Source organism: Homo sapiens, chromosome 4, assembly GCF_000001405.40.
Source record: "Homo sapiens chromosome 4, GRCh38.p14 Primary Assembly".
Taxonomy (NCBI): Eukaryota; Metazoa; Chordata; class Mammalia; order Primates; family Hominidae; genus Homo; species Homo sapiens.
Window position 1 is genome coordinate 119,984,208 of NC_000004.12, and position 12,905 is coordinate 119,997,112.

Below are 12,905 nucleotides of genomic sequence, written 5' to 3' on the forward strand. Positions count from 1 at the left end.
TATTTAAACCGTTCATGCAATTACATTCTTAAACAATCCCATACTGATTCAAACTATTGCCTTCATAATATTATAAAATCACATATTCCCCAAAACTCAAAACTTTGTAACAAGATGTTACATTGACTAGAACTAAGCAAGCACAGAGACATGTTTTCCAGTACTATGAATCACTTTATTTTGCTGTCATTCAAGTAGTACATCACTGCTTTAATGATACCTGGGATTTGCCTTAATTAGTTATAGTAAGACACACATGCTCAGAAACGACTGTCGTGAAGGAAGAAGTTTGTTATACTCATAGATCCCTAGAAACGGGGCTGGCGACCATGCAAGGGGATTGGTCAGAAGGCAGAGGGAGTGGGAGAACATGGGGGTAGAAGTCTTTACTGTGGTTTCCTTGGGAAAGTATGGGCCAGGTAGTGTAAATGGTTTAGAATTAGCTAATTTGAATACTTTTAGCAGACTCTGGGGCATAGGCACTCTCTCTAGTTGTCTGATATCTGGCCCTGGGGTTATTAGGACAGGGGGATAGTGACCTGAAGTACAAGGGCCTGATAAAGGAGGTGGCTGAGTTATGGGCTCTGGATTGGTTGGTTTGCATTTGAAAGTTGTGCTCAAGGGAGAGTTGCACATTATCTCTAGGAATTGGTTAATCCTGGGAGGAGCAGTCCCTCCAAGCTCAGCAAGCCCTGCACATCAAATCATCATAATACAGAACATAAAAAGACATGGTTCAATCACAGATGCAATAACTTCAATTCAGAAGCTGTGGCTACCCGGCACATAGGTCTGGTCTACTAAATGTAGCCCAGAATATCCTAAGATGTTATCAACAAACGTGAAAGAAAGCCAAAAAGACCAAAATACTACCTAGGGATCAAATTATGAGGCAAGAAGCAGACTAAGCCTTGAAGCACTGGGACTGACTCCATGACATCCCAACATCTGTGCTAAATGAAACTCTAAGCTACTCATATAAAAGCCTTTCTTGAGAATAGTAGCTTCAGCGGGGCAGATGGGAGCAGCTGAAAAACATTAGATGGAAAGGGTAAGAGCACAGAGAGGGGGAGCTTTAAAAAATTTCCCACTTGAGAAGAGCCAACAAATGAAAATAACAAAATGAGAGATGTGAAGATAGCTGGCCAAAAAATAACTACTCAGGAGATGAATTAATTCCAGATAAAGTTTTAAAATGGAGCAACCCTAAAATGAGTTTAAAATAAGTGTTTAAAGTCCTCGGAGAGGCAAAGGAAGGAATGTTCTCTATTAAAAAACAAATTATATGAATAGAAAAATAGTTACTAATCCTAGAAAATATATAGGCATCTAAAAACACTCAAAACTGAAAGGATAACTATAGAATCAACAAAAGTAAGGAAAGAATTAAGAAACTGGAAGAAAGAACTGAGATCTGGAGAGTCCTTGAGAACCTTATTTAATAGTTTAATAGGATACCAGCAAAGGATAATAGAGGAATGTTGGAACAGCATATTCAAAAAGATAATGACAAAGAAATTATAATATATATAAATAAAAATTGATAAGGAAAAGAGTAACCCTTAGTTTACCAATCTAACAAAAATTAGAGGGGAAAAAAGAAGCCAAGAAAAGTCTTTGATGAAACAAAAACATGAACCAAGATGATTCATGTAACTCCAAATACATTATAGTAACAATAATGTAAATGGATTAAATGACCTTATTAAAAATCTGAAATCATTGGCTTAGGTATAAAAACATCAGTGATGAGCTGCTTATGATAGACAATTGTACATACACGCACACACACACACCAGAAAATTTCAAAATTAAAAAGACTAAGAAATATGCTGGCATATATGGACCAAAAAATTTGATACAGCAGTATCAGTCAAAATAGGAAATGAAGGAAAAGCATTAATATGAATAAAGCATATAAACCAAAATCCTTGAAAAGACTATAAAAATTATAAATTCTATATCTTTAAACAACATGAACTTTAAAACATCAAAAAACTGTAAAACTCAGATTAAAAAATAAATTGACAAACTCACAATTATAATGAAAGAATTTAAGACCTCTCTCAGAAACCACATATTTGGAGAATATATAGCAGATTTGAGTGACACATATAACATGCTTGGGCTATATATATAGTATAATGTACATATATAGTACATATATGTACATAGGTACTATGTATGTATTAGTATATGTATATGTACTATATATAGTATTAATGAACACATATATAGTACCTATATACTATATAGTACATACATATATAGTTATTACATATATATAGTACCTATATATACATATGTGTATATATATGCATATATGTACTATATATGTATATTTAATATAAACATTTGTATATATAGATTACATATATGTATAGTATGTATAGTATATATGTATGTACTATATATATAGTACATATATATGTATATATTTTCCTGCAACAGAGAACCTAAGAAGAATGCATATTCTAAATCATGCATGCAACATTTTCAAATATTTATAAAATTAAACCATAGGACTTTGGGTTTCAAAATGGCGAAATAGAAGCAAACTGGCTTCACACCCCCATTGTCTGGGGATGTGAGACTTTCTTCCCTTTTCCAGTGGAATGCACGCAGAACATCATACGTCACCATTTTGTCTCTTAGTGCACATGCCCAGGAAGTTTCTTTTTCCTGGTAACTGTATTCAATTAACACTTTAATGTTAATGTTAGTAGCTGTGGATCATCAGGAGATGATCCCTCCCTGACGCCCTGGCGCCTGTCAGTTAACATTATGAGAGAGGCAGTGTGATCAGTGTTGAACCCTCACCTGATATTCCTAGTGGGAGGTGGGGGATGGTGGGGGAGAGCGCTCTCCTGCCCTCCTCATGCCTATCCAACTATCTGCAACATAGATATTTTCCTGCAACCAACAGAGAACCCAAGAAGAATACATATTCTAAATCATGAATGCAACATTTTCAAATATTTTAAAATTAACCATAGGACTTTGGCTTCCAAAATGGGGGAATAGAAGCAAACTGGCTTCACACTGCTAGACAGAGAACCAAAAACCAAATATAAAGTAAAAGGAAAATTGGTAATATAAAAATATGTCAGTTGAGACAACTAAATGTCAGAATGTGTGTGTGAGGGGAATAACATTAAAGTTATATTTTTTTTTAGTTTTTCCTTTGTTGGTTCTATTTTTTTTGTGATCTAAGACACGTTGTCATCTCTTTAAGATAACTTGCTCTATCTATAAGATGTTTCTGTAAGCCTTATGGTAACCACAATGCAAAAAAACCTATAATACACTAAAAATAATAAGTAAAAAAGTGAGGCCAGGCGCAGGGGCTCATGCCTGTAATCACAGCACTTTGGGAGGCCAAGGTGGACAGATCACCTGAGGTCAGAAGTTCAAGACCAGCCTGGCCAACATGGTGAAACCCCATCTCTATTAAAAATACAAAAAATTAGCCGGGTGTGGTGGTGCACGCCTGTAGTCCCAGCCACTTGGGGAGGCTGAGGCAGATGAATTGCTTGAACCAGGGAGGCAGAGTTGCAGTGAGCTGAGATCATGCCACTACACCCCAGCCTGGGCAACAGAGTGAGACTCCATCTCAAAAAAAAAAAAAAAAAAAAAAAAAAAAAAAAGAGGGAAACATACTACCAAAGAAAATCACTTAACCACAAAAGAGGCAGTAAGAAAGAAGAAAGGAAAACAGGAGTTACAAATCAAGCAGAAAACAAGCAACAAAATGGCAATAATAAGTCTTTACTTATCAATAACCTTGAATATAAATTGATTTGATTTGTCAATAAAAAGACACAGAATGCCTAAATGGATAAACAAAGAAGACCCAACTAACACATAAACGGAAACCCAAACATCGCATGTTCTCACTCATAAGCAGAAGCTGAACAATGAGAACACATGGAAAGAGGGAGGGGAACAACACACACTGGGGCCTGTCAGGGGTCATGGGGAGGAGGGGAGGGAGAAAATCAGGACAAATAGCTAATGCATATGAGGCTTAAAACCTAGATGACAGGTTGATAGGTGCAGCAAACCACCATGGCACACGTATACCTATGTAACAAACCTGCACGTTCTGCACATGTATCCCAGAACTTAAAGTAAAATAAAAATTAAAAAAAAAAGGAGGCCCAACTAGATGCTGCCTACAAGAAACCTACTTCACTTAAAAAAAAAACACATAGACTGAAAGTGAAGGAGTAGGAAAAGACATTCTGTGTGATTGGAAGCAGAACAGGAATAGGTATACTTAGTAAAGCAGATTACAATTTAAGGTTGTAAAAATGAGATAAAGGTCACTATATTTATAGTTCAATATAGTTCATCATATTCAATCCATTTATATGATGAAGGGGTTACTTTTACAAGAAGATATAACAATTTTAAATATCTATACACCCAACATTAGAGCTCCCAAATATACAAATAGACCTAAAGTGAGAGTAGACTGTGATACAGTAACTGTTGAAGACGTTAACACCACAATCTCAGTAATGGACAGATCATAGACACAAAATCAACAAAGCAACATCAGAATTAAACTACACACTAGACCAATAGGCCTAATTGACATTTACAGATTAATCTACCCAACTGCTGCAAAACACGCATTCTTTTCATCAGCACGTGGAACAGTCTCCAATAGACCATATCGGAGGCCACAAAACAAATCTGAATAAATTTTTAAAAGTAGAAATTATATCGTTTATTCTTGACCATAATGGGATAAAACTATAAATCAATAAAAAGGAGAACTTTGGAAACTACAAACACAAGGCAATTAGGCAACGTGCTTCTGAATGACCAATGGGTTAATAAATAAATTGAGAAGGAAGTTTAACAATTTCGTGAAACAAATGAAAGTGGGAATACAACGTGCCAAAATTTATGAGATACTGTAAAAGCAGTACTAAGAAAGAAATTTATGTCAATAAACACTGATATAAAAAAGTAGAAATACTTCAAAGAAACAGTCAGATGATGTACTTCAAGGAAGTAGAACAAACCAAACCCCAAATTAATGCAAAATTAATAATAATAATAATAAAGGCCAAAGGAGAAATAAAATTGATACAAAAATACAGAAGGTTGACAAAATGAAAAGTTGTTCATTAAAAAGATAAACAAATTAACAAAGCTTTAGCCAAACTAAGAATAAAAGAGAGATGGTCCAAATAAATAAAATTAGAAACAAAAAAGGAGACAACTGAGACCATAAAAATAGAAAGAATAATTAGAGACTATTATGAACAATATATCACAACAAACTGGAAAACCTAGAGGAAATAGATACAGTCCTGAACTCATTAACCTGCCAAGGCTGAAATGTGAAGAAATAGAAAACTTCAACAAACCAATGATGAGTATCGAGATAATAACCATAATAAGAAGTCTTCTATTAAAGGAAAATCCAGGACCTGATGGCATTACTGCTGAATTCTACTAAACAATTAAAGAAGAACTAATACCAATTCTACTTAAAGTCTTTAAAAAAAAAAACCTGAAGGAAAGGGAATGATTCCAAATTGAATCTATGAGGCAAGCATTACCATGATACCAAAACCAGACATGAATAAAACAAAAAAATAGGTAAATATCACTGATGAATATTGATGTAAATTTTCTCAAAAAATGCTAGCAAATGTAATTCAACAGCACATTAAAAATTATAATTCATTATGATCAAGTGGAATTCATCCCAGGAATGTCAGGATTGCTCTACATATCCAAATCAGTAAATGTAATACACCACATTCATAGAATCAAGAACAATATCATGTGATTATTTCAATAGATGCTGAAAAAGCATTTCTAAAATTCAACATCCCTTTAAGAAAAAATTCTCATCAAACTGGGTATAGAAGGAACATATCTCAAAATAATAGGGACAATTTTGGCAAAACCGCAGCTAACATCATAGCGAACAGAAAAAAAATGGAAAGACTTTGCTTTAAGACCACAAGAAGACACAGGTGCCCACTTTCAACATGTTCATTTGACACAGGACTGGAAGTCCTGACTAGAGCAATTAGACAAGAGAAAGAAATAAGGGACATTAAAATTGGGAAGGAAAAAATCAAATTGGCCTTGTATACAGATGACATGATTTTATACTTAAAAAATCCTAAACACATGGACAAAGGTGGTTGCGGGGAAGGGGATGTAGAACATTAGGACAAATACCTAATGCATGCAGGGCTTAAAACCTAGATGATGGTTGGTAGGTGCAGCAAACCACCATGCACATGTATACTCATGTAACAAACCTGCATGTTCTGCACATGTATCCCAGAACTTAAAGTGAAAATAAGTTTTAAAAAATCCTAAAGACTACACACAAAAAACTATTAGAACTGACAAATGAATTTAATAAAGTTGCAGGCTACAAAATCAACATATAAAAATCAGTAGCATTTATATACACCAATAATGAATAATCTGAAAAGGAAATGAAGAAATCAATCACTTTTACAATACCTGCAAAGAATATAAAATACCTACGATTCAGTTTAACCAGATATGTAAGAGATCTATACAATGAAAAGTATAAAAGACTCATGAAAGAAATGGAAGAATACATACAAAAAAGTGGAAAGATATTCCATGCTCATGGATTAAAACAATGAATAGTGTTAAAATGACAATAGTACTCCCCAAAATTCACAGAAATGCAATCTCTATTCAAAATACCAATTACTTTTTTCACAGAAATAGAAAAAGAAATTATCCTAAGATTTATATGGAACCACAAAAGAACCTGAATAGTTAAAGCCAGCCTGAGTAAAAACAACACAGCTGGAGGCATCACTTTACCTGACTTGAAAATTTACTACAAAGCTGCAGTAACTAAACTAGCATGGCACTGGCATGAAAACAGACACATAGATGAATAGTAGAAAACAGAGGAGACAGATATAAATCCACACATTTTCAGCCAACTCATCTTTGACAAAGGCACCAAAAAGAACACAATAGGGAAAGGACTGTCTCTTCAAGAAATGGTGCTGGGAAAAGTGGGTAACTATATGTAGAAGAGTGAAACTAGACCTTTTTCTCTCACCATACACAAAAATCAAATCAAAATGGATTACAGACTTAAATCTAAGACCTGAAACTCTGAAACTACTGAAAGAATCTTTGGGGAAACACTCCAGGATATTGCTCTGTGCAAAGATGTTTTTTCTAACACCTCAAAAGCACAGGAAACCAAAAAATAGACAAATGGGATTATATCAAGCTAATTTGGTACAGTAAAGGAATCAACAAATAAAAGACGGGCTACAGAATGACAGAAAATATATGCAAACTACCCATCTGACAGGGTATTAAAAACCAGAATAAATTCAGAGTTCAAACAACTCCATAGCAAAAACAAATAATCTGATTTAAAATTTGGCAAAAGATCTGAATATGCATTTTTACAAAGACATACAATGGCCAACAGGCATAAGACATAATGCCCAACATCACTAATCATCAGAGTAATGCAAATAAAAACCATAATGAGATATCCTCTTACCCTAATTAGAATGGTCTTTATTAAAAATATCAAAAATAACAGATTCTGGGAAGGATGTAGAGAAAGGGAAATTCTTGTCCACTGTGGGTGGGAACATGAATTATTGCAGCCACTGTGGAGAACAGTATGGAAATAGAGCTACATAGTGGAATCGGACACACCGATTCCACTATGGAATATATATCTAAAGGAAAATAAATCAATATATCAATGAGATATCTATACTCCCATGTTGACTGCAGTACTATTCAAAATAGCCAAAATATGGAAACAACCTAAATGTCCATCAAGGAATGAATGCATAAAGAAAATGTTGGATATCACAAGAAAAAATATTCAGCCATAAAATAATGAAATCCTGTCATTTGCAGCAACGTGAATAGAACTGGAGATCACTATGTTTACTGAAATAAGCAAAGCACAGAAAGACAAAAATCACATGTTCTCACTCATACATGGGAGCCAAAAAGTGAATCTTCTGAAGATAGGCAGTAGATTGTTACCAGAAGCTGGAAAGCAGAGTAATAGGTGGGATGATAAAGAGTTGATTAATGGGTACAAATACATGGTTTGATAGAAGAAATAAGAGCTAGTGTTAGATAGACTGGTAGGGTGACTATCATTGACAATATTATTGTACATTTCAAAATATGTAGAAGAGAATAATTTGAATATTTCTAGCATAAAGAAAAGAAAAATATTTAACATGATAGATATCCCAAGTACACTGATTTGATCTTTACAAATATGTGAATGTATCAAATTATCACATATACCATAAAAAATTAACTGTATACTCAGTCACAATCATAATTATTAAAAATATATTATCTGATCACTGGACAATTACATTAGAAATTTACTATTACAAATAGTAATAAAAGGGTCACAGTTTAGAAAACCTAACAAAAGCCCGAACAATAAATGGCTTAAAAAAATAAATCCCAAAGAAAACTATAAAATACAATGATTGAATGACTGAAAAATACTAAAATACTAAAAACATAAAAAGCAAAATCAAAATTTGTGAGATGCAGCTAAAACAATATCTGGACGTTATTAAAAGTTTCAATACCTTTATTACAAATAAAGTAGTTAAGCATTTAATGCAGGAAGCTAGATGCAATGAAAAGAACAGTAAGAAAGTTGAAGATAATTATAAAAACAAAACACAACTTAATAACCGAGAAAATCAATGACGAAAATGATTTTTAAAACAGTTCCTTTGAAAGCTACTAACCTAGGAAAGCCTCTAAGAAGTTTTATTAAAATATATATATATATACATGCAAAGATTAATGCATTATTCATGTAACAGAATACTATCATACATCAACTAGACTGAGTGACTCATATCTACAGGTAGCAATATAGAGAAATCACAAAAACATGTATTAAGAAATAAAGTTGCAATTAAAATTTCTGTAGTTTACTGGTTGAGTTACTAACTGAAAAATGTTTATGTGTTTATATGTAGCAATATAGAGAAATCACAAAAACATGTATTAAGAAATAAAGTTGTGATTAAAATTTCTGTAGTTTGCTTGTTTAGTTACTGATGTTTTATATATGTATATATATGTGCATACATACATATACATGCATACACATGTATGTTGTAGATATTCATGTAATAAAATTGCCTATAACTTTTTATTAGTAATTGAACCATATGGCATAATGTTAGAATTTTAAAATATTTTTTAAAGTAAGAAAATAATACATATATGCTTGAAGTTTTTTTTTCCATCTCTTTTCTGTCATATTGTCTTTTCCTCCCAACAGAAGTAGCCATTATGCTGAGGTCAATATTGTTGTTTATTTTTCTTTTCCAGCTAGTTCTTTCTGTATTTTGAGCAAACAAAATCTTTTATTTTGAATGTTATCTGAAACAAAATACTGAGTAATGTCAGGCCTCCGAGCCCAAGCCAAGCCATCGCATCCCCTGTGACTTGCACGTATATACGCCCAGATGGCCTGAAGTAACTGAAGAATCACAAAAGAAGTGAATATGCCCTGCCCCACCTTAACTGATGACATTCCACCACAAAAGAAGTGTAAATGGCCGGTCCTTGCCTTAACTGATGACATTACCTTGTGAAAGTCCTTTTCCTGGCTCATCCTGGCTCAAAAAGCACCCCCACTGAGCACCTTGCGACCCCCACTCCTGCCCGCCAGAGAACAACCCCCCTTTGACTGTAATTTTCCTTTACCTACCCAAATCCTATAAAATGGCCCCATCCTTATCTCCCTTCGCTGACTCTCTCTTCGGACTCAGCCCGCCTGCACCCAGGTGAAATAAACAGCCATGTTGCTCACACAAAGCCTGTTTGGTGGTCTCTTCACATGGACGCGCATGAAATTTGGTGCTGTGACTCGGATGGGGGACCTCCCTTGGGAGATCAATCCCCTGTACTCCTGTTCTTTGCTCCGTGAGAAAGATCCACCTATGACCTTAGGTCTTCAGACCGACCAGCCCAAGAAACATCTCACCAATTTCAAATCTGGTAAGCGGCCTCTTTTTACCCTCTTCTCCAACCTCCCTCACTATCCCTCAACCTCTTTCTCCTTTCAATCTTGGCGCCACACTTCAATCTCTCCCTTCTCTTAATTTCAATTCCTTTCATTTTCTGATAGAGACAAAGGAGACATGTTTTATCCATGGACCCAAAACTCCGGCGCCGGTCACGGACTGGGAAGACAGCCTTCCCTTGGTGTTTAATCATTGCAGGGACGCCTCTCTATTCACCCACGTTTCAAAGGTGTCAGACCACGCATGGACGCCTGCCTTGGTCCTTCACCCTTAGCGGCAAGTCCCGCTTTTCTGGGGAAGGGGCAAGTACCCCAACTCCTTCTCTCCTTGTCTCTACCCCTTCTCTGCTTTCCGAGGAAAGGGCGAGTATCCCAACCCCTTCTCTCCTTGTCTCTACTCCTTCTCTGCTTTTCTGGGAGAGGGGCAAGTACCCCTCAACCCCTTCTCCTTCACTCTTAGTGGCAAGTCCCGCTTTTCTAGAGGAGGGACAAGTGCCCCAACCTCGTATCTCTGTGCCCCAATCCCTTATTTCCGTGCCCCAACCTCTTATATCTCTGCACCCCAATCCCTTATTTCAGTGTCCCAACCCCTTATTTCCGTGCCCCGACCCCTTATTTCTGTGCCCCTACCCCTTATTTCCGTGCCCCTACCCCCTATTTCTGTGCCCCTACCCCTTATTTCCGTGCCCCTTCCCCTTATTTCCATGCCCTGACCCCTTATTTCTGCGCCCCATCCCTTATTTCTGCATCCCAACCTCTTATCTCTGTGCCCCGACCTCTTATCTCTGCGCCCCAACCCCTTTTCCCACTTTTCTGGAAGGTAAGAACCCCCGAACCCCTTCCCTCTGTTTTTCTCTCTTTTCTCTAGGCTTGCTTCCTTCACTATAGGCAACCTTCCACCCTCCATTCCTCCTTCTGCTCCCTTGGCCTGTGTTCTCAAAAACTTAAAACCTCTTCAACTCACACCTGACCTAAAACCTAAATGCCTTATTTTCTTCTGCAATGCCGCTTGACCCCAATACAAACTCGACAGTAGTTCCAAATAGCCAGAAAATGGCACTTTGAATTTTTCTATCCTGCAAGATCTAAATAATTCTTGTCATAAAATAGGCAAACGGTCTGAGGTGCCTGACGTCCAGGCATTCTTTTACACATCAGCCCCTTCCTAGTCTCTGTGCCCAGTGCAACTTGTCCCAAATCTTCCTTCTTTCCCTCCCGCCTGTCCCCTCAGTACCAACCCCAAGCATCACTGAGTCTCTCTAATCTTCCTTTTCTACAGACCCATCTGACCTCTCCCTTCCTCCCCAGGCTGCTCCTCGCCAGGCCGAGCTAGGTCCCAATTCTTCCTCAGCCTCCGCTCCTCCACCCTATAATCTTTTTATCACCTCCCCTCCTCACACCTGGTCCGGCTTACAGTTTCCTTCCGTGACTAGCCCTCCCCCACCTGCCCAGCAATTTACTCTTAAAAAGGTGGCTGGAGCCAAAGGCATAGTCAAGGTTAATGTTCCTTTTCTTTATCCCAAATCAGAAGCATTTAGGCTCTTTTTCATCAAATATAAAAATCCAGCCCAGTTCATGGCTCCTTTGGCAGCAACCCTGAGACGCTTTACAGCCCTAGACCCTAAAAGGTCAAAAGGCCGTCTTATTCTCACTATACATTTTATTACCCAATCTGCTCCTGACATTAAATAAAACTCCAAAAATTGGAATCTGGCCCTCAAACCCCACAACAGGACTTAATTAACCTCAACCTTCAAGGTGTACAATAACAGAAAAAAGTTGCAATTCCTTGCCTTCACTGTGAGACAAACCCCAGCCACATCTCCAGCACACAAGAACTTCCAAACACCTGAACCACAGCGGCCAGGCATTCCTCCAGAACCTCCTCCCACAGGAGCTTGCTGCATGTGCCAAAAATCTGGCCACTGGGCCAAGGAATGCCCACAGCCCGGGATTCCTCCTAAGCTGCGTCCCATCTGTGTAAGACCCCACTGAAAATCGGACGGTTCAACTCACCTGGCAGCCACTCCCAGAGCCCCTGGAACTCTGGCCCAAGGCTCTCTGACTGACTCCTTCCCAGATCTTCTCGGCTTAGCGGCTGAAGATTGACACTGCCCGATCGCCTCGGAAGCCCCCTAGACCATCACGGACGCTGAGCTTCGGGTAATTCTCACAGTGGAAGGTAAGCCTGTCCCCTTCTTAATCAATACAGAGGCTACCCACTCCACATTACCTTCTTTTCAAGGGCCTGTTTCCCTTGCCTCCATAACTGTTGTGGGTATTGACAGCCAGGCTTCTAAACCTCTTAAAACTCCCCGACTCTGGTGCCAACTTAGACAATACTCTTTTAAGCACTCCTTTTTAGTTATCCCCACCTGCCCAGTTCCCTTATTAGGCTGAGACACTTTAACTAAATTATCTGCTTCCCTGACTATTCCTGGACTACAGCTATATCTCATTGCCACCCTTCTTCCCAATCCAAAGCCTCCTTTGCATCCTCCTCTTGTATCCCCCCACCTTAACCCACAAGTATAAGATACCTCTACTCCCTCCTTGGCGACCGATCATGCACCCCTTACCATCTCATTAAAACCTAATCACCCTTACCCCACTCAACGCCAATATCCCATCCCGCAGCATGCTTTAAAAAGATTAAAGCCTCTTATCACTCGCCTGCTACAGCATGGCCTTTTAAAGCCTATAAACTCTCCTTACAATTCCCCGATTTTACCTGTCCTAAAACCAGATAAGCCTTACAAGTTAGTTCAGGATCTGCGCCTTAGCAACCAAATTGTTTTGCCTATCCACCCTGTGGTGCCCAACC

The 12,905-nt window shown here is 37.6% G+C and overlaps 1 annotated feature.

Annotated features, from left to right (window-relative positions):
- Nucleotides 9,279-10,120: an enhancer, noted in NCBI's record as "OCT4-NANOG-H3K27ac hESC enhancer chr4:120914641-120915482 (GRCh37/hg19 assembly coordinates)". NCBI's record gives its function as "activates a minimal SCP1, AML or CMV promoter by ChIP-STARR-seq in primed H9 embryonic stem cells {active_cell/tissue: H9 hESC(primed)}" and the evidence as "EXISTENCE:reporter gene assay evidence [ECO:0000049][PMID:30033119]".